This window comes from Homo sapiens, chromosome 4, assembly GCF_000001405.40.
Source record: "Homo sapiens chromosome 4, GRCh38.p14 Primary Assembly".
Taxonomy (NCBI): Eukaryota; Metazoa; Chordata; class Mammalia; order Primates; family Hominidae; genus Homo; species Homo sapiens.
This window is the reverse complement of record NC_000004.12, coordinates 20,966,748-20,989,812: the sequence shown is the minus strand read 5'-3', so window position 1 is coordinate 20,989,812 and position 23,065 is coordinate 20,966,748. Positions and strand designations below refer to the sequence as shown.

Here is a 23,065-nt window from a genome sequence, read left to right as displayed (position 1 = left end):
AATTTTTGTAGAGATAGGGTTTCTCCATGTTGCCCGGGCTGGTCTTGAACTTGTGAACTCAAGCGATCTACCCACCTCAACCTCCCAAAGTGCTAGGATTACAGGCATGAGTCACAGTGCCTGGCCAATGCTGTCTTTGTGTGTGCCCATTTATGTTCCTGGGAAAGTCACTGCTCCTCTCCAAACTCATTTTCAATGACCTAGATTAGGTTTCTCTCTTCAATGCAACCTTCCGGATAATGCCAACCATCCTGATGGCTTGCTTCTCTTAGCTTCTATTGACTGAGAGAAGAAATTTTCCTTCTAGAATTTTACTTCTTTTTAACTTTTCAGTGTATCATCCTGATTTTTCCTATACTAAGCAAGTCAAGGATTATGAAAAGCTAGAGGATTCAAAGCCACCTGTGTCCACTTCCAAGTCCCTGACCTTAAACAAGCCAACTCTGCTCTCTATACCTCCTTTTTATGCATTTGCAAATTTTTAAAAAATATATTATTTTATCTTTAAATGATTCCTAAAAGATTGTATGAATATGGATGTAGGGGTGAAAAAAACTTTCTCTGTTCCTTCTTAGATTTAGTAGTTGGACCCTGTAAATTAAACTGACAAAGGACAGATTGATGGGAAAAATAGATTAATAGAGTTTATTTACACGTGCAGAGCACATATACATGTGAGAACTCAATGAAGAGTAACTCAAAGGGGTGCTTAGAATTGGGGACTTATATAATCATCCTAACAAAGGGTGATAAATTGTGAAGTGACAAGACAAAGAAAAAAGGATTTGGGCTTCTAGGGTGGTAAATTGTGGGAAGAAAAATATACAGGGGAAACTAATGGAATATAAGGCTTATTTGTAAGGTTTCTTACACAAATCCCACTGGTGCCGACTTTCTGCCCAGTGATTATAGTTGTTTCATCCTTCTCATACAGGAGAGCAGAAGGGAATACTTTACAAAGAGAAATTCATACATCTATCCCCTGCCTTGAGGCAGAGAGGGGGAAGGTAGAGAGTTTTTCCTGAGTCTCCTATTTCAGTTGCCTTCAATCGAAAATAACCCTTATGCCAAAGGACATATTTTGGAGTAACATTTTCTGATTCCCTTCATAGGCTAATAATCTTACATTTAAATTTGACTTAACTAGTTTCTATATACATTGTGATTCTATGTATTTGAAGAGAGAACAGGTAGATTGTAAATATATCGAATTTTAACGTTTTTCTCAATCTTGCTACACTTATTTTTGCATTTATTATAATGTCAACAAACAGTATGAAGAATATTTCTTAACCGAGACTATCACGTGGTGAAATTTCAAACTGAAGCTATAAAAAACAAGGAAAAATGATCAATTTCAGGTTTTAGATAAATCATCCCATTTGAGATTATTTAAAGGATCACAATGGATTGGGGCAAGGAAATGTAAAGTCTACTGACCCTCTCTCTTTCACAGACTGGTCAATTGATTTGGACATGCGTCCTTGGAGTGAGTTTTTACTTTCCTAAGAGTTTCTGTCAATACTTTCCTTTCAGAGTCTCTCAACCAGTTAAACGGCCCCAGTTAAAGAACCATTCAACATGGTGCAGAGGGGCCTGAGAGTGAGGTGGTGAATGATAAAGTAGGCAGAACCTGGTACCGAGTATACCCACATTCAAATCCCAGTTCTACCAAGTGCCATATATGAGGCTTCAGGCAAGTGGATTAACCTTTGAAAGCCTGAATTTTCTCCTTGAAACCAAATTATTTCAGGGAACTATAAAAGGATTAAATTAGTTAATATCTATAATTTTTTTTTTTTTTTTTTTTTTGAGATGGAATCTCGCCGTGTCGCCCAGGCTGGAGTGCAGTGGTGCGATCTCGGCTCACTGCAAGCTCCGTCTCCCGGGTTCACGAGGTACTCCTGCCTCAGCCTCCCGAATAGCTGGGACTACAGGCGCCCACCACCACGCCCGGCTAATTTTTTTTGGATTTTTAGTAGAGACGGGGTTTCACCGTGTTAGCCAGTATGGTCTCAATCTCCTGACCTCGTGATCCGCCTGCCTCGGCCTCCCAAAATGCTGGGATTACAGGCATGAGCCACCGCGCCCGGCCAATATCTATAAATATTTTAGAGTAGTGCCTGACACTTAAAAGTTCTCCATAAATGTTGGTAGCTACTATTTTTGGAGTAAATCAGGTATAAATCCTGGTTATGTCCCTTGTTGAATGTAATTTTGTGAAAATTAATTAATCCCAATGCGCCTTAGTTTTTATTCTTCTTTGAAATAGTGATAATAACACCTAACCTATTGATTTGGGGTGAGCTGAAACTAATTTATACATGTAAACTACATAGTATGGTGCCTGGCTTAGAATCAATGGGTAAAAGCCTTTAGTGTACCTTTGGTATTCCCTTCTTTGGTATGAAAGACAGACCTCTGCTGGAGGACTCATTACAATGTAAAGAAAGGGGTGAGTCAGTGAATGAGGGAGAAAGCCAGGATGTTTTAATATAACAAACTGGGTTGGGGCTAGCAAGTTACTGCAGTAAAATGGTTGAGCCGTGATCTGGAGTTACTTTTTTAAATTTTTAAACATTAAAAATAGAGGTAGAGTCTCACTATGTTCCCCAGACTGGTCTCAAACTCCTAAGTTATCCTCCCACCTAAGCCTCCCAAAGCGCTATGCAGGCAACTCTTCTTTCCAAGAGTGGCGCTAGATAAACATCATTCCCCAGATGTCCCCTGCTTCCCTAGACTTTTTAGATGAAGCAGGAAACTCCTCTTATGGTGCTGTCACCTTACAAAATCTCACAGCTGGGGGTGCATGTGAAAGAGCCCCCGCATACTTGGGAGCCAGCAGATTCGATCCGGTAGCCACAGCTGAGAGACAGCTCAGAAAGCATGTGGTAAATGTAACTAATGCAGATAGGAAAGGGCTGGACCTCCAATCAGCTGGCACATTCTAAGTAGAGAATGCTATTGTCCTGAAGGGAAATTCTATCTGAAACCAACAAAATCATATTCATGGGACTTTATGTGAATTTCAAAAAAGATAGGAATTTCAATCCTGGAAAATGAGATGTGGCAATTTTAAAATACTTTACCAACTCTCTAAACTAAGAGATCAATTGGCAAATATTTGCTGAAATCTGCTGATAGAAATAAAGGGAAAAGCGTGAATTTGGAAGCCAGACAAAGCAATGATTGAATTCTGGGTTTTCTAACCATGTGACCCCCTCTCAGTACTTTAGTTGTTTTCAACTACAATATGGTATGATATAGGATTAAAAGACATGTTTACATTTAACTTGACCTAATTAATTTCTGTAATTTTTTTTTAACTTTTGACTTTCTGTAGCTAAACGTTGGTGGAAATTTCAGAAAATGGTTACCTAAAATATTTTTTTTCCTACTAATTACTAAAACCTGCTTCCCCGCCACAGGCTTGCTGATATAATGGAGAAGAAAATGTTTGGATGGATGGGTGATTGGGCAGGTGGATACAAGGATATCTCTTATAAATATGTTATTCAAAATGAAAAGCACCTTTGGCAGGACCAACTTATTTCTAGGACTCAAGGGAAAGAAACCACACTGTGGGTTGAGATGATCAGCAGGTCTTCATGGGAAAAACGCTGAAACTAGACCTTGGAGCAGGGGTGGCAGGACCAGGGAAAAGCAAAGTCGTTTCATCCAAGGAGACCTTGCAGAGCCTCTGAAGAGTTGGAACTTCCGTCATAACCCCACAACTACCATATGTGAGCAGGGGACCCCAGGGACTGGGCTCAGCTCCCCGCAGACTTAGTTAATTCTTACATCAACCATGAGAAAGGGGCAGTAGCATTCCCATTTTAAACCAAGATTCAGAGACGGAGTGTATTCTTCAAGGTCATGGAGCAAGCAAGGGTAAGGCTAGGATTGTACCCAGGTCTACCAACCTCAAAACTTGAGCATGGTATACTATAATACTTCTAGTAATGATTCAGGTTACCATTATGGACAGTTACCGCCTCTATAAAGTCTCCTTCCTGATACCACTAAACCCTTTCCCAATTAGAGTTGACTTTCCCTCCTTGTTTTCCCACTGTACCGCGCAGACATCTGTTCAAGTGTTGGTGTATTTATTGGTCACATTTTACTTCATGCCTGCCTCCTCATTAAACTATAAGCCCCCAAAAGACAGAGCTGAGTATTATTCATCATTTGATCATTCATGTACCATTTATAGCTCATAGTAGCAGCTTAATAAATGCTAATGAATAACTGAATGAATGAAAGCCTGTTGCCTTCCAGTCACTATGCCCACTGCTTGGCAAGTCAGTTAACCTCTTCATGCTTTGTTTTCCTCACCTACAAAGTTAAAATGATTAGAATTAACTTATAATCTGCCACTTATGTGGTAGATTAATTTGTCTACCACGTAGAGATGTAGGGATAAGTAAGTTGTTGAAAAGTCACTACAATATTGATGAGCACATAGTAAGTGCTTAGTACATGTTAACTATTATTGTGATCACATTTAATTCCCATAATTCCCTTTAAATGGAGAACTTTAAATGAAGTATTATGATCTTGACTGCATAGAATAGGACCTGTTATTAGAGTGGTTAAGTGTCTTGCACAAGATCACATAGCAAGAAAGAAGCAGAACTTGCAAATGACCCTGGAGGTCTGAGATATTACTCACAAACCCTTATATTTCCAGTTCACCTACAGAGTCCCTGTTGATTCTCTTCATCTCCGTTTTTAGGTTGGGCTTCAGTAGACTGGAGATAACCAACAAAGTGATTCAGCCAGTGTGGTCCTGGCACAGAACAGGGTCTGTTTGGAGTGGTTTGGACTAGCACACCTCATGGCATCTTTGCGATGGTGCTGTCCACACTTCCCAGTTGATAAGAGTCACCTGGGCTTCTTAATAACACACACTCCAGGCTCCTCTGATGAGCGTGGTTTTAATAAACAACCCCAGGTTGTTTTTATCATCAGGGAAGTTTGTGAAACTTTGAGAAAGGCTGAGGCCAGACTTTAAAGGACGATGGTGGTACACACCTTCCAGGGGGCAGTTATGAACATCTTAGTTGTTACCGGGTACTGCTCCGCCACGCCCTCCGTCCACCTTTGTAAATATAATATAAGGACTAAATCAATCTCCCTGATAATGCGCCCGACGTGACAGCGGAGACCAGAACAAGGAGTGGCGTGGCGGGGGAGGCTCAGGTGTTCTCGTTTGACAAAGTCATTGAATCACGGAGCTTTGCTCCTGCACTTTTCTCCCTGGAAAAGCTGCCTCTAGACTTCCACGGGGGCTTTCAGGAAGGGCCTGTAGGCACCAGCCACCAGAACTGATTGTTTCCTAGCATTCAGAGAGGGAGCTGAGCTCTCTGCCAGAGGCGGCTCTGGGAGGAGAGAGCAGCAGCTTTGGCAAAAAGGGGCCATTCGCAAGCTTCTCAGGCAGAAAACTAGCGCGCAGACAGATCTGCCCAGCCTCGCGTCCTCAGCGAGGGAAGCGCGCGGTGTTCTCCCGGGCAAGTTTCCTAGGAGTGTCCCTTCTCGCCACGGACACTGCAAAGTCTCCAGTTCTCCGACAGACGTTTCCCTCGCAGCTCTGAAGTCGAAGTACTCGCCCGCTGGCTGCAGCATAGAGTGGAGAGGTCCGTGCGCTGTGGTAGCAGGGGGGAAGCCCCGCCAGCCAAATGCCAGGATCAGCATGAGAAGCTGGACTTTAGCCCAGGTCTGTCCTCACCCCGGGGGGCCGCCGGCTTTGCAGGGTGCATCTGCCAGGAGCTGCTCACTTTTTCCCCTTGCAAGTCTTTGTTCCAAGCCTGACGTTGCTACGATTCTGTAATTAACTCCCTCCACTCCAAAGGGGTCTGGAGGCTGGGATGCTCTGCCAGCTCAGAGGATGTTGACTCTGGAGTGGGAGTCCGAAGGACTGCAAACAGTGGGTATTGTTGTGATTATATGTGCATCTCTGAAGCTTCTTCATTTGCTGGGACTGATTGATTTTTCGGAAGGTAAAGTGGTCGCTCCAGTCTGTGCTGTTGGGCAGGTCTGGTTTAGAAGTAGATACAGATGCTGCAGAAGTTAAGAAGCCTTAATACTCAAAGTAAAAGTTTTAAAATATGCATGTTTGGCATAGAGCATCCTAGTGGCTGGACAGTTCATTTTGGTTTATCTAGATATTTGATATTAGAAGGGAAGGGATATTGTACCATTATCTTTCTATTTGAAATCTACTTGGGTTTAGTATTTTGTGGGTTAAATATTTTTCTAAGGTGGGGAGTTAGGACTCTCTCCTATGGGGTGATAATATGGGTTGGTATTTGGTTGTCAAGTTCATGTTGGTTACCACACCTTAATGTCATTAGTGATTTCATCCTATGAAAGAGTATCTTGATTTGTGAAGAGAATATCTGTGTGTCCCTCATTAGTTAGGAGGTGTGGGGGTGAACCCGGGTGGTTTATTATGATATAAAATGGGTAAGCTTTTGATATGAAATTGAGTTAATGGGTGCTCAGCAAAAATGTGCTTTGAACATTTGATTTGCAAGTGTTTCATTTGCATTCCCCAGTGAGTCTCATTGCTCATGTGTGTCCTGAGTAGGAACTCATACACACGAGACAGGACTGTTGCTATCAATAAAAATTAGATCCATCTAACATAAATTTTACTCTTGCTATCCAAAATGAGTTTTGTTATTCAAAGATTGGAGAGTTTTAAGAAGTTAATTAACTTTGCTTTAACTATTTGAATGTATATGTATGTATCAAACACACACACATATTGTTTATGAAATAATGCTTTTACTAAAATAATAGCCTTTGAATCATTTAAACCTAAATCATTTGATATCAATTCTACATGCAATCTCCTCTTTCTTCCTAAGTGAAAGAATGACGTCCATGAGATACTTGCTAATATTTCTTCCAGATATGGATATGATATTTTATTGCCAAGTAATGAATATTTACCTCTCACATTGTGTTTAATGTGGGGAGATGGAAATATTTAAACTTGCCTATGCTTTCTGTAATCTTTCTAACTATAGGAGCTAAGACCTGATAGCTATGATGACATCATCCCAAACAAGATCCGGTATACAGGTTGTTTCTCTTAATATGTTAATGATGGCCAATGTATCTTATCTTCAGAAAGTCCTTTTATTCTACAAAGTAAGTTCATTAGGTTCTAACTGTTTAGACAATATAAGAACATACATTCTATTGTAATCTTCGTATCTTCTTTATTCTCAATAAGTTCTGCTTAGACACAATACAAATAATACTGTAATGGGATTAAAACCTCAGAATTTAGTTCTTTTTCCTTTTCTTATATTTCACAGTAATTTTATTTAACCCCTGAAGGAAATCAATGCATAAGCAGGTTTCTCCAATGTTACACAATTTTGCATTCTCTTGAGATTTCTGCCTCAATGCACTAAATGCTGGTGTCTTAATACAGTACTAGCAATTTCAATTTCTATGATTGGAATAATTTGCTTCTGTTTTGTCACCACGTTTTGGTTCTCTGGACTTAGTTGAGCCACAGCCCCCAACTTCAGTGCATTGTACTGGAGCTGACTTGGTTTCAGAGTTAGGTTCTAAAGGACAACCTCCACAAATGTATTGAGGAAGTCAACTTTCACAGCATTATGAGGATAGCGCACAGTTCTTATATTGTCAAAGTTAATAATGTAGAAATTTAAAATCAAAAGTCCCAAGTGTAAGGCCCCGGGCAACGATTCAGCTTTTATTCTTCAATGTCTGTTTCATATCACTTAAAGTTGAAGGTTTGCAGATTCAAACTTCGAATTTGAGTTTCAACAAAATGAAAATTAGAATTGTAAACCTGACTCCCCCAACTAGAATCATAGAAATTTTGAGTTGGTCTGAAAAGTCTTCCTTGGGAGAGATATCTAAATCATATTCCTATCCATATCTGAATCTATATTTCTATATCTACACACACAAACATACACATAGAGATGTACATAAATATTTATAGATATTATGTGAAATGTTCAGTAAGCTGGAGAAACTTTTAATTCAATATAGAATCCATGATCATGTTAAAATACAAGGATGCAGGTTATCACCATACATGAGGGAAGACCCACATATACTTGTTGAGTCAGTCCCTTTTTCCTCTGAAATACATGTTAGGAAATACTAGTTTGGGCCAACTCTTATTTTGCATAGGAGACAACTACAATCCAGTAAAGTTAACTGACTTGTCATAAGGCAAATGTAACTGCGAGCAGAAGCAGGATCAAAACCAAAGACTACTGAATCCTACACAGTGCTTTTCCTACTACAACATACTTTTATACATCTTCCTTAATGTTGAGAAAGGGAATAAATGAAAATGCACATGGGAATTTTCTGGAATTCTTGAGTCTTTTCCTGAATTGGCTAATACCATGTGAAATATTTTCGGCAAATGCATTTAAAAGAAAATCATATAATGGGCATGTAATTTCTACAAGGCTCTGACCTCAACCCAGGAATGGGACCCAAGCATGGGATATAAATGAGCTAAGCCAGACCACTGATGTTTGTCATAGATTAGAGGCAAGATTAGGACAAAAGCAAGCCAAGTGGTCTCCTCAGCCCCTGTCAGACATCTAAGATCTGCACTGAATTTTGACCAAATGTGACTTACATTCAATCATGATGAATGTCCAGTTCAAGCAGAGTCTGAGGATGAAGTCCAATGAGAAGGTGACACCTCTATCCTAGGCCTGCTGCCTGTTTATTTAGACTATGACATTGTCTAAGCAGAAACAGAACCTGGACTTTTTGATCAGTAGTCAAGTAAAGGTTTGAGAAAAAAAGGCAGCTAAAGTGCAAACCACCATAAAAAATTAGATTATCAGAGCTTTCATTCTTTCTAGCTGAAAATGATGAAGGTTGACAGGGTTATCCCAATGCAAATTGCTAAACTCTTCACTAAGATTGCACCACCTAGAAAATATGACCCACAATAGTCCAGAGAATTAGCCTCTTTTTTTTTTTTTTATGGTGGAGAAGTGAAGGTGAAAAGGCCCAGAGTAGAAATTTGAGCTTCTTTTAGGCAGCATTGAGCTTACATGTTGTCCTCAGGAAGCAGTGATACCTCAATGGTACCATCATGGAATATTTTCTCCAGTGTGATTTTCTGTATAATACATTAGAAAGTACTTCTGAGTCTATTTGAATGAGAGGGCCCATATTAATGTTGAGATAAAGCAGTATTGCCTTAATATTTTCATCTCTAATGTTGACTAGAATTAGACACAGATAGAAAAGGGTTAAGAGAAACAGTTATTTGTTTTAGTTTCCAATTTCGATAGTCTTGTTTTAAAAAAAGTTTTAATTGAAATTCATGACTTAGGACTCAAAAGCAATTTGTAAAGAAGATCAAAACAACCAGTGTGATTTTACTATAGGGATTTGAAATTTTGCACATATCCACTTATTAGTAAGCGGAAGGAGAAAGAACACTCATGAGATTAAGCTCATCATTTCATACTTTAGTTTGTAATCTTGTCATATTGAATTCTAACGTGTGCAGGGTACCCTGTTGGGTATTGACTGAGAGGGTGGGAAAGTGCAAGATGAACATTAAAGTGCCCTCAACAAGCTTACATTCTGGTAAAGGAGACTACTTACTAAACAAGGCAGCAGAAAATAATGCTGGGCATAGGCCCAGGCCATGGCCAGTAGAAGCACAGGTAGAAAGGTTCATTCTGGAAAGGACTCCAGAGAAGGTTTAATGGAGAAGAAAAACTAGTCGTACAGGACCTTGGAGTGGGAGAATGTTTCCCAAATTGGAAAATCCAGGAAGAAGATTCCAAGCTGAGCAAGGAAATTGAGCTGTGAATCTAAGCACAGACAGTGGGTGGCTTGCATGGATTAGGACCGTGAATTGGATATGGCTCGTTGCACATGGGTCTAAGAACATTAAAATATGTGGCTGGACAAGTTACTTGGGGTTCAACACTAGAAGTGCACACTTATTCCCTAAACATTGAAGAGCCATTGACTTAAAGACTTCAACTTTGGGGGAGCAAGTGGGACAGATCCATGTTTTAGGTAGGTCAACCTGGGGGTAGGTGAAGATGAGTTCACAGGTAAGAAAGTGCAAGCAGAGCCAGGCGCGGTGGCTCACACCTGTAATCCCAGCACTTTGGGAGGCCGAGGCGGGTGGATCACGAGGTCAGGAGATGGAGACCATCCTGAATAACACGGTGAAACCCTGTCTCTACTAAAAATACAAAAAAATAGCTGGGCGAGGTGGCGGGCGCCGGTAGTCCCAGCTACTCGGGAGGCTGAGGCAGGAGAGTGGCGTGAACCCGGGAGGCGGAGCTTGCAGTGAGCCGAGATCTCGCCACTGCACTCCAGCCTGGGCGACAGAGTGAGACTCCATCTCAAAAAAAAAAAAAAAAAGAAAGAAAGTGGAAGCAGAGATACTAGTTATGCTTTTGTAGCAATTCAGATGGCAGATTGGAAGGACAAAAATCCACAGAATTCCCTCCTCAATAAAATACTTGGGGAGAACTGTCCGTTTCCAGTTTTTCCAGAAGTTCTTATTTAATGATATCCATGACATGAAGCTCTTTGGAAACAATATACTTATACTTTATTTCAGAGCAACTTTGTTTGGCTTTATTAAATATCTTTTTTATGAGAAAAGAAAGAAATGTGGAGTACGCAGAGATCATAGCTATAGGTATAGTGGAAGGAACTTAAAACTTTGGATAGATTAATCCGCTATCTTACAAGGTCCTCGATTATTGTAAACTTTTTATTTTGAAAAATTTTACACATAAAACAAGGTATAGAAAAAAGTGTAATGAATTGTCATATATTCATTATCTAACTTTAATAATTACCAGTACTTTGGCACTTGTTTTCACATGGCTTGCATTTAATAAATATTTATTGATTGTCTACAGGATGTCAGGCACTAGGCTAGGCTCCAGAATATAGAGATCAATTAAAGATAGTTGCTGCCTTCAAGATATTCTCAGTTGCATAAGAAGAAAAAGAATACTAACAAATAAAAAATATAATACATCATGGTAAATAGACCAGTACAAGAAAATCCAAGAAGAATGTTAGGTAATTAAGTCCAAGTAGAGGAGATGAAAGCAATCAGAGATGACTCCATGGTGGAGGTGACCTCTAATCCTGGCTTTTATGGATGAAGAGAAGTGTATAAGATTGATATATAAGAATGGTGCTTATCCAAGTACTGTATGTAAAACGCTGGGTGAGGTAACACCATGTACAAGCACAGGGCCATGATACACCACGTGAAATTCCTGGAACAACGATAAAATGTAGGATAGGAGTTGACTGTTTTACTCCTTCTCCTTAATTGTACAGTTATCCTTGCTGTTTAGCACAGTGCTTGGTAAATAGAAGTTACTGAAGAAAATTATGACCTGAATGCCATTTGCTTTCATACAGGAATAGTGCCAGTTCATATCTATTTATCCCACATAATAAGTAACTTCCAGTATCACTTTCAGGTTTCCATAGTAGCCTAAAAACTGTTGATTCATTGATTAAGATTTTTGTTATATATATATTTTTTCTGTTAGTAATATTTCACATCAAAATCCCCTGGCAAAGTGAAGATACCTGCACACCAAACACATATGTTTGTTAGAACTCCTGAGCCAGGGAGATAATTTCAATTAAGATAACCAACAATGAGTTGCAGAGTCCCCGCTTATATGAGCTCTGGTTTGATGGAAAAGCAACACTTTCAATTCTGTAACTGGAAAAACGTTTAGATTTATTGCCAAAATATAACAAATATGTATTACTGTGTGGAAGGGAAGGGAGGATAGTCAGGTGTTTTACTGCCTTCAAGAAATTTCCGAATTGGTTAGAGGCCAGACAGCTCATGAATAACTAATCCAAGATGAAAAAGTATTGTGAGAGGGAGTAAGGCCTTTAGAAAACTCAAAGAGAGGAGCCATCTAGAAGATTTTGGGGAAGGCTGCAAAAAGATAAGTGACATTTTACATCTCAAGAGTTGAGAGATCCAAAACTTTGACAGGTAGAGACTAGAAACTAAAAGCAGAAAATTGAACTATATTTTTAAAAGACAGGCAGTTTCCTGAAATCATTTTTGTAATCAGATTGGCACTGAAAATTTCATTAATTATTTAAAATACCAAGTTTCTGCTTGGACCTGGCAATGTGCTTGATACTGATTAGTCTGGGGACTATTATTTTCCAGTTCTAATTATTTTTACTTACTTTGGTAACTTGTGCCTCACCCAGGCTGGAAGAGGAGAGCTATAATTTTAAGTGGGCAGTGAGGGGAGTGGAAGGGGAATGCCCTCCAGCCAAATATCATCAGGAAACACACCTGTGGTTGAATAATTTTCATTTATTATTCATTGCAGAGAGAGAGAATACATGCTGCAGAGAAACGGGGAATGTCTCAGAGAGTGTTAGGACTTATTACAGGGTTTGAGCTCATTTTGGTGCCTTTGGAGAAGGTTTAAGTGAGCAAGACATTGACCTGGACAGGAAGCTGTCAAGAAGCCAGAGTCATGCTGTGATTGGGTAACTTGTGTCTGCAAGTAGTGAAGACTAGACAGAGACAAAAGCTGTAATAGGTAAAGAAGCAGCTGTTACTCATATTAGCTGGGATAGGAGGTATTTGATTATTTTGTGGTTTAAAGTTCATGTTTGGCCAGGCGCAGTGGCTCACACCTATAATCCCAGCACCTTGGGAGACCGAGGTGTGTGGATCACCTGAGGTCAGGAGTTTGAGACCAGCCTGACCAACATGGAGAAACTTCATCTCTACTAAAAATACAAAATTAGCCAGGCGTGGTGGTGCATGCCTGTAATCCCAGCTACTCGGGAGGCTGAGGTGGGAGAATCGCTTGAACCCAGGAGGTGGAGGATACAGTGATCCAAGATCACACCACTGCACTCCAGCCTGGGCAACAAGAGCAAAACTCCATCTCAAAAAAAAGAGAAAAAGTTCATCTTTTTGCTTCTGTTCAAACATGATTATAGAGTGCTCTTGTTGTTATATTGATCAACCATGGGTCCACAGTGGTGTTTTCTGATGTTCATATTCTATGAAATGGTTTATAATCATCAAGAAAACACCAAGACCTAACTAATAAATCAGCTCAGCTCCTTCCAGGGGCCCACAGGTGCTTTTCTCCTTCTCTCACATAATAAGGGAGAAGGCAGAATAAGGCGAGAGGGAAGAGTATAGGCTATAAAGCAGACAGATTTGAGTTGAAGTCCTAATTCACTAACTGTGAACAAGTTACTTAATCTTCCCAAGCTTCAATTTCCTTTTCCATATAATGGGGTTAATAATCCCAATCTTTGAAGATTATTGTAGGAATACTAAAATATAAGTGGAATATCTAGCTCCATTCTTCATCCACAAATAGGAGCCAATAAGTGCCTTTCTTGTAATTGTGTTGAAACAACAGTTGCCATGTTCCAGTTTCTTGAGTTTGACTACCGTTCTCTGAAGAATGCTTCAGAATCACCTAGCTGACCTGTTAGACACAGATTGTTGGGCCCAACCCATGGAGTTTCCAATTCAGTAAATCTGGGGTTGGGGTCATAATTCACATTTCTAATGGGTTCTTACTTGAGGATCATGCTGCTGGTCCAGGGGCCAAACTTTGAGAACCATTGAGTTAGGTAATAAGTTGGAAAGGCCAAACCCATGGTATCTGCAGTGTGTTCTGTGCCAAGTTGTCTGACACCTGCTGAGCTTGATTCTCAAGCAGTGGCCAGCCAGCTTTTTCAGTAGTAAACATTTTGGGTTTTGTGGGCCATGCAGTCTGTCACAACTCCTCAACTCTGTTGTAGCACAAAAGCAGCCGTAGATAATATGCAAACAGATAGGTGTGGCCATGTTCTAATAAAACATTGTAGATGCTCTTTGAATCCCATACAATTTTCATATGTCACAATATATTTATTTAATGTCTGCCCTTTTAACCATTATTTTACATGTGAAACAATGTTTAGCTGGCAGGTGATACCAAAATTGAGAATAGACTAGATTTGGCCTACCACTGTATTTTGCCAGCCCTTGTTCTAGAGTTGGCAATAAAGGGAACCATTGAGAAGGGGGTCTCAGGTTGATGACTTATTGTTTTTTGGAAATTTAACTAGGTTTTTCTATCCCTTCTGTACTATTGAGGGGATGGGGGTCTAGTCTCTTTTTAGGCGGTTGGTGGAATTGTCTGCCAAACTGTCAAGTGATTTGAATTAACACATGCGTTTTTTCAATAAAATGACTTCCTTTCCCCTAACTTCACACTGCTGGACCAACTTAGATAGTTGTTATATAAATTAAGCCATCTGCCTGGTATTGTCATACAATGAGTCAATGCCTGAGTGCCCTGTCCTATTGGTTTTCATTTTCGGTATTATTGTCTCTTAGAGAAGTTGATAATATACTCTTTTTATTGAGTTTGCAAACTCTTATTTCATAGATTTGTTAAAGACCCATTTTAATTTTTAAAATTACATTACTATTCAGACTGTTGCACTACATTGAGCCTTTCGAGTCTAGGACACATACATTCAATGAACAAATGTTAAAAAATAAAATAAAATCACCTTAAGTCTACACTCTCTTAAAAATAAAAGATCTATAAGTAGTGGATAAGATCATGGTCTTTGAAGTGAGACAGACCTAGAGTTCATTTCCAGCTTTTCCTTTTACTGGCTGTGATCTTGGTGAAGATATAACCACCTGAACCTCAGTTCTCTCATTTGTAAAATGGAGTACTAGTCGTAGCTACCTCATGACATTATTTTGAAATTTAAATGAAATGATACTTGTTAAAATTCTCCTTAGCACAGTGCCTATCACACAGAGCTCAATAAATATTGGGTATTATTTGCAGTGTTAACATCATTGCTGTCTTTGCTTTGCATAGTCATCATACCTATTATTAGCATAATCATGTATTCAATCATCCAGGAAAGAAAGGTTTTCGAGTGTGATCTGTGTACCAAGAACTGTACTAGTCATTGAGAACATAAAGACATAATTTTGGCTACATTGGGTTTATATATAAATGAACATACCAAAAAATTAGTTTAGTAAATTGCCTGGGCCTCACGTCTATGTAGATTTTAGAGGGACATAAAAGAAAGACTGACCAATCCTATTTAGAAAGTGGAGAGCATCAGAACGGACTCAAAGAGGTGATCTTTGAGCTGCATCTGAGCAACACTTTTAGCACTGAGCATCAAGCAGCCTTGAGAACCACTGGCAATTGAAAAAACCTACCTTAGCATTTCCAAGAACACCTGATGTTGATCTCAGTTTCAAACTCCTGGCTTATATTATTCCTAGAACTCCTTCTCCTATACAAGTGCCACCCTTCCTCCATTTCAGCTTTAAGTGAAACCCACCCTCTCTTTTATACCACCCTTTCTTTCTAATCTGAATTCAGTTACTCCTGATGTACGTGGTACAGCAAACACACTTAATAATGAATCCTGATGCACTGTCCCTCAAATTACTTAATTTGTGTTCATTCATTTTCTCTCCAGCTGAACAAGAGAGAACACTGTACCTTAGTACAGTTTGAATTTTCCCTGTATTTTCACGGTGTCCAGAGCTATAAGGAGTGTGTTACCCAGGCTCAATGATACAGGCATAACACAGATACCTTGTGTTCTTGCACTTCACATTGTTGTGCTTTGCAGATAATGGGCTTTTTACAAAGCGAAGGCTTGTGGCAACCCTGCTGAGCAGGCCTTTTGGTGCCATTTTTCCAACAGCATGTGCTCAGTTTGTGTCTTTGTATCACATTTTGGAATTTTTTACGGTATTTCAAACATTTTCGTTATTATTATATATATTTTAGTGATCTTTGGTATTACTAGAGAAATTTTTATACCATATACCTCAGGAATAATCGAGTTCAGATTAGGAGCACCATGAACTACATCCATGTAAGATTCCAAACTTAATCTATAAATATTGTGTGTATTCTGACTGCTCCACTGACTGGCCATTCCCCAGTCTCTCACCCTCTCCACAGGGCCGGCCTATTCCCTGAAACACAACAATAATGAAATTAGGCCAATTAATAATCCTACAATGGCCTCTAAGTGTTCAAGTAAAGGGAAGAGTCATACATCTCTCACTTGAAATCAAAAGCTAGAAAGTATTAAGCTTAGTGAGGAACGCATGATGAAAGTCAAGACTGGCCAAACACTAAGCCTCTTGGGCCAGTTAGCCAAATTGTGAACACAAAGAAATAGTTCTCAAAGGAAAAGTGCTACTTCACTGAACACGTGAAGAATGAGAAAGCAAAACAGCCTTATTGCTGATATGGAGAAAGTTTTAGGGATCTGAATAGAATATCAAACCAGCCACAACCTTCCCTTAATTCAAAACTTAACCCAGAACAAGGCCCTAACTCTCTTTATCTCTGTGAAGGCTGAGAGAGGTAAGGAAGCTACAGAAGAAAAGTCTGAAGCTAGCAGAGTTTGGCTCATGAGGTTTAAGGAAAGAAGTCATCTCCATAACATAAGAGTGCAAAGCGAAGCAGCAAGTGCTATTGGAGTAGCTACAGCAAGTTACCTAGAAGGTCTAGCTAAAGTGAGTACACTAAACAGATTTTCAATGTGGATGAAACAACCTTCTATTGGGAGAAGATGTTGTCTAAAAGTTTCATAGCTAGAGAGGAGAAGTCAGTGTCTGGCTTTAAAGCTTCAAAGGACACGCTGACTCTCTTGTTAGCAGCTAATGCAGCTGATGATTTTAAGTTGAAGCCAGTACTCATTTACCATTCCAACCTAGACTTCACCAGGATTCGATTCCATCTCAAGAAACCACTTTCTTTGCCCTTCTAGAAGAAGTTAGTCCTCATTTGTTCTAGTTTGATCATGAGATTGTAGTAGTTCAGTTAAATACTCAGGCTCCACTTCTAATTCTAGTTATCTTGCTATTTCCATCACATTTGCAGTTACTTTCTCTACTGAATTATTGAACCCCTCAAAATCATTCATGAGAGTTGAAGTCAACTTTTTGCCTGACTTAAAAATTATGCTAAATCAGGCAACTTGCTCGGGTCCCCTTTCCATGCTGTGGAAGCTTTATTGCTTTGCACTTCACAATAAATCTTGCTGTTGCTCACTCTTTGGGTCCGCACTACTTTTAAAAAAAACTATACTAAATCTATTCTGCCTGTGCTCTGTAAGTGGAACAACAAAGCCTGAATGACAACACATCTGTTTATAGCATGGTTTGCTGAAAGTTTTAAACCCACCCTTGAGACCTACTCCTCACAAAGAGATTCCTTTCAAAATATTAGTTCTCAGTGACAATGCACCTGCTTGTCCAGGAGTTCTAATGGAGATGTATAGGAGATTAATGTTGTTTTTATGCCTCTGAACACAACATCCATTCTTCAGCCCCTGCATCAAGCAGTAATTTTGACTTTCACATCTTATTATTTAAGAAATACATTTTGTAAGGCTATAGCTGCCATAAAGAGTGATTCCTGTGATAGATCTAGACGAAATAAATTGAAAACTTTCTGGAAAGGATTCACCATTCTGTATGCCATTAAGAACTTCCACAATTCATTACTGGAGGTTAAAATAACACTAACAGGAGTTTGGAAAAAGTTGACTTCAACTCTCATGAATGATTTTGAGGGGTTCAATAATTCATTAGAAGAAATAACTGTAAATGTGGTGGAAATAGCAAGAGAACTAGAATTAGAAGTGGAGCCTGAATATTTAACTGAATTACTGGAATCTCATGATCAAACTAGAACAAATGAGGAGTAGTGTCTTCTAGATGGACAAAGAAAGCAGTTTCTTGAGATGGAATTGACTCCTGGTGAAGAGGCTATGAACATCATTCAATTGATAGCTAAGAATTTAGAATACTGCATAAACTTATTTGAGAAAGCAGCAGCAGGATTTGAGAGGATTGAGTCTAATTTTGAAAGAAGTTCTACCATGGATAAAATGCTGTCAACAGCATCATATGCTAAAGAGAAATCTCTTGTGAAAGGAAGAGTTCAATCAATGAGGCAAATTTCATTGTCTTATTTTAAGAAACTGCCACAATTACTCCAACCTTCAGCAACTATCACCTTGATCAGCAGCAGCCAACAACATTAAGGCCAGTTCTACCAGCAAAAATATTATACTTGCTAATCTTTTTGCAAGATTGCTGAAGAAACATGATTGTTATCAATTTTTAACAGTAAAGTATTTTTAAATTACAGTTTGCACATTGTTTTTTAGACATAATGCTATTGCACACTTAATAGACTACAGTATTGTGTAAACATTTATATTCACAGGAAAACAAAAAAAAAAGTATGGTTTGCTTGATTGTGATATTTGTCTTATTGTAGTGGTCTGGAACAGAACCCACATGATCTTTGAGGTATGGCTGTATTACTGGGTTCTTCAATTGCATCTTTAATAGATTGTCCTTTTAAATCAATATACTTGTCCTTTTAAATCAACATGCTTTTTAAATCAACATACTTGTCTGATCTCAATCTCATCCCCATACTGAGAAGTATACTTTGACTTTCTCAGGCAGAAAAAAAGAGGCTCTGGCTCTGAAACTTCTATGGCTCCTTCTCCCTTTCTTCTGTGCCTATCTTATGCTCTAGTGCTGGCAAACTCCCCATCATTTTCCAAACACTCTAAACTGTTTCATCTTCATGCCTTTCTTTGAAGTATGAATGCTCCTCCTTCTAGAACACATCTCTCAGGTGTTCACATGATTCTGATTAACTCCTTCTTATCCTTTAAGCTCAGCTTAGGAGGTATTTTTTCCAGAAAGCCTCCTTTGAACCACCTAGTTAGATCAAGTGCCCGTTTCATAGCACTTCAAACTGCATTAAACACTTGATGTCTATGTCTTTCTCTTTTGCTAAATTTCAAGCACCGCATATGTAGAGCACTTATCTTTCCATCCTCAATGCCCTGTGGGAGTGAGTGAACTGTTAGGTAGATCATGGACAGGCAAGTTTATTCAGAGGCTCTGGTAATACAATAGGCTACTCAGAATTTGCACAACAGGCTTGAATTAATATATTAATAATTTTTAAACATTTTGTTTTAGGCAGGGATTCTCAACCTTGGCACTATGAACACTTGGGGCTGGATAATTCTTTGAGTTGTGTGCTGTCTTCGGCACTATAGGTTGATTGACAGCATCCCTGGTCTCTACCAATTAAATGCCAGTAGCACCTTTCTGGGAGTTGTGACAAGCAAAAGTGTTTCGAGGCACTGCCAAATGTCCAGTGGGTGCAGGGTAGGTGAGATCACTCCCCTAACCCTCATTGAGAACCATAGAGTTGAGGTATAACCAAACACAATTTGTAAGCCTTTATATATACACGCATTCATAAATTACAAACTAAATTTAAATTTGAAAACATCAAAGCACTGAAAATTATTGGAAATGAAACCTGAGTGTTGGGGAAGTATATGATTTTCTACTACAAAGGTAATAAACAATCATTGAGGAAAATGTATAAATAGAAAAGAAAGAAACATGAAGAAAATACCCCCAGTCCCACCATTCTAAGAATAACCGCTGGCCGGGCGCGGTGGCTCACACCTGTAATCCCAGCACTTTGGGAGGCCGAGGTGGGTGGATCACGAGGTCAGGAGATCGAGACCATCCTGGCTAACACGGTGAAACCCCGTATTTACTAAAAATACAAAAAATTAGCCGGGCGTGGTGGCGGGCGCCTGTAGTCCCAGCTACTTGGGAGGCTGAGGCAGGAGAATGGAGTGAACCCGGGAGGCAGAGCTTGCAGTGAGCAGAGATGGCACAACTGCACTCCAGCCTGGGGAACAAAGCAAGAATCCGTCTCAAAAAAAAAAAAACTGCTGATAATATTTTCATTTGTTTATTTTCAGTTTTTTTCTCCATGTATATCTGATCCCTTAAACTTAATAATATTGTATTACTATAAAATTTTATATAGATTTAAATTCAGTATTAGAGCACAAGTATTTTTACATTAGATTACAGATTTTTCATAAATTAATACCTATATTATAGTCTATAAATGTGTGTAATATAGTTTACTAATCCTGATTTTAGAATAAGTAATTTCTTTTTTTAGTATTTGGAAAATTATGTAATGAATTATCTGTGTGTGAAGTTCCTTATATATTTAGAATTATGTTCTTAGGATGGAGTCATAGAGTGGAATTAATGGGACAAGAGAATGAACTGTTTCAGGTCTTTTCACACACACACACACACACACAAACACACACGCAGCAAATTTGCATGTCAAAAGGGACACACAAATTTACCTGTCCCACTGTAATGTGAGGAGTAACCGGGGGTTTGGGTCACTGCAGTGTCAGGACAGGCTATTGATTAGGATTCACTTGGAAGGTGAGCCCTAATGACATGTTGGCAAGCTCAGTGTTAGTGGGTGTTGGTGATTCCAAGAAACTTTGTCTTAGGGCTGGAATGCTAATGGCTTTTAAACCAATATTAGGAATTTTAATTTTCTGTAAGTATGAAATTCTCACTGGAGCTTGAAACTAGTTTTCCTGTTCTTCTTTCTTGTTGTCAATCCAGATGCACTCCCTTTATGAAAAGGGCTAACAGTTTTCTCAATTATCACATCCATTTTAACCATCAAGTCTGGTACTAAGCAGACATTAGATTATTCATGGAAAGAAAAAATAACATACTTTTGTACCAGATGAAGTATTTCCTGGGTCTGTATTTAGGAGGAAAATTGGCATGCATAAAATTATTGCTATGCATATTCAAATAAATATTTCCTGGGACTTAGTAGTAGATGTAGTTTACTTAGATGAATTTAAATAGCAGGGAGGCAGTAGAGAGAGTAATATCTCTATTTACTTTTATTTTTATTTTTTATTATACTTTAAGTTCTAGGGTACATGTGTACAACGTGCAGGTTTGTTACGTAGGTATACATGTGCCATGCTGGTTTGCTGCACCCATTAACTGGTCATTTACGTTAGATATTTATCCTAATACTATCCCTCCCCCAGCCCCCCACCCCTTGACAGGCCCCAGCGTGTGATGTTCCCCACCCTGTGTCCATGTGTTCTCATTGTTCAACTCCCACCTATGAGTGAGAACATGTAGTGTTTGGTTTTCTGCCCTTGTGACAGTTTGCTGAGAATGATGGTTTCCAGCTTCATCCATGTCCCTGCAAAGGACATGAACTCATCCTTTTTTATGGCTGCATAGTATTCCATGGTGTATATGTGCCACATTTTCTTAATCCAGTCTATCATTGATGGACATTTGGGTTGGTTCCAAGTCTTTGCTATTGTGAATAGTGCTGCAATAAACATATGTGTGCATGTGTCTTTATAATAGCATGATTTATAATCCTTTGGGTATATACCTAGTAATGGGATCGTTGGGTCAAATGGTATTTCTGGTTCTAGATCCTTGAGGAATCGCCACATTGTCTTCCACAATGGTTGAGCTAATTTACACTCCCACCAACAGTGTAAAAGCATTCCTATTTCTCCACATCCTCTCCAGCATCTGTTGTTTCCTGACTTTTTAATGATCACCATTCTAACTGGTGTGAGATGGTATCTCATTGTGGTTTTGATTTGCATTTCTCTGATGGCCAGTGATGATGAGCATTTTTTCATGTGTCTTTTGGCTGCATAAATGTCTTCTTTTGAGAAGTGTTTGTTCATATCCTTTGACCACTTTTTGATGGGGTTGTTTTTTTCTTGTAAATTTTTTTAAGTTCTTTCTAGATTCTGGATATTAGCCCTTTGTCAGATGGGTAGATTGCAAAAATTTTCTCCCGTTCTGTAGGTTGCCTGTTCACTCTGATGATAGTTTCTTTTGCTGTACAGAAACTCTTTAGTTTAATTAGATCCCATTTGTCTATTGTGGCTTTTGTTGCCATTGCTTTTGGTGTGTTAGTCATGAAGTCTTTGCCCATGCCTATGTCCTGAATGGTATTGCCTAGGTTTTCTTCTAGGTTTTTTACGGTTTTAGGTCTTACATTTAAGTCTTTAATCCATCTTGAGTTAATTTTTGTATAAGGTGTAAGGAAGGGATCCAGTTTCAGCTTTCTACATATGGCTAGCCAGTTTTACCAGCACCATTTGTGAAATAGGGAATCCCTTCCCCATTGCTTGTTTCTGTCAGGTTTGTCAAAGATCAGATGGTTGTAGACATACGGTGTTATTTCTGAGGCCTCTGCTCTGTTTCATTGGTCTATATATGTGTTTTGGTACAAGTACCATGCTGTTTTGGTTACTGTAGCCTTGTAGTATAGTTTGAAGTCAGGTAGCATGATGCCTCCAGCTTTGCTGTTTTTGCTTAGGATCGTCTTGGCTGTGCAGGCTCTTTTTTGGTTCCATATGAACTTTAAAGTAGTTTTTTCCAATTCTGTGAAGAAAGTCATTGGTAGCTTGATGGGGATTGCATTGAATCTACAAATTACCTTGGGCAGTATGGCCATTTTCACGATATTGATTCTTCCTATCCATGAGCATGGAATGTTCTTCCATTTCTTGTGTCGAGAGAGTAATATCTTTCATAAGAGGCAGGCCCATGTTCATCTCAAGTAAATGTGTGGGGTATTGTGTTCATGTGACGAAGTTTAAGACCAATAATCATGCATACTTTGAGCAAGAAGACATGAAAGCTCATTCAAACTTCCCTAAGATATAGGTCATGATAAAGTAATGAGTTGCCCAGGGTCCTTTTATGACTTAATACTAGAACTTAGTTGTAGAAGCAGAATGGTACTAAGGTTAGGACACACTGAGCTTTGAAGATACACAGGTCAAATTTTTCCAGAAATGCTGCTGGCTGTGGTCCTGTGCAAATCACCAAACCTGTCTGAACCTCAGTTCTCCTGCCCATAAGATGAAAATCATCATAATACCAACTTCACAGAGTGCTTCTGAGACACAGAATAATTTTGAGACAAGCCACATACCTAGTACTCATTAAATGGTAAGCACTCATTAAAAGTGCCTAGTATTGTAACCCAGATTTTCTAATGGTTACTTTAGTGTGACTTCTTCATACATAACTATAGGTAGGAAG

At 39.1% G+C, this 23,065-nt stretch overlaps 1 protein-coding gene across 8 annotated transcripts in view, besides 1 other annotated feature; it reads left to right on the top strand.

Annotated features, from left to right (window-relative positions):
- KCNIP4 (potassium voltage-gated channel interacting protein 4) overlaps positions 1-23,065 on the top strand; it is a 1,220,167-nt gene that overhangs the window by 958,960 nt on the left and 238,142 nt on the right. The window contains exon 1 of one of the 8 annotated variants that reach the window (NM_001363504.2): positions 5,743-5,999. The exons of the other annotated variants lie outside the window; for them this stretch is intronic. Within the exon in view, the coding sequence (NP_001350433.1) occupies positions 5,888-5,999 (112 nt within the window). The 5' untranslated portion in view covers positions 5,743-5,887. Of the gene's footprint in view, positions 1-5,742; positions 6,000-23,065 lie in introns of those variants that run through there. 8 annotated transcript variants of the gene reach the window in all.
- Positions 8,255-8,424: an enhancer, noted in NCBI's record as "experimental_77702 CRE fragment used in MPRA reporter constructs". NCBI's record gives its function as "activates a minimal promoter by MPRAs in K562 erythroleukemia cells, with activity observed for the introgressed 4:20983097 variant allele {active_cell/tissue: K562}" and the evidence as "EXISTENCE:reporter gene assay evidence [ECO:0000049][PMID:34662402]".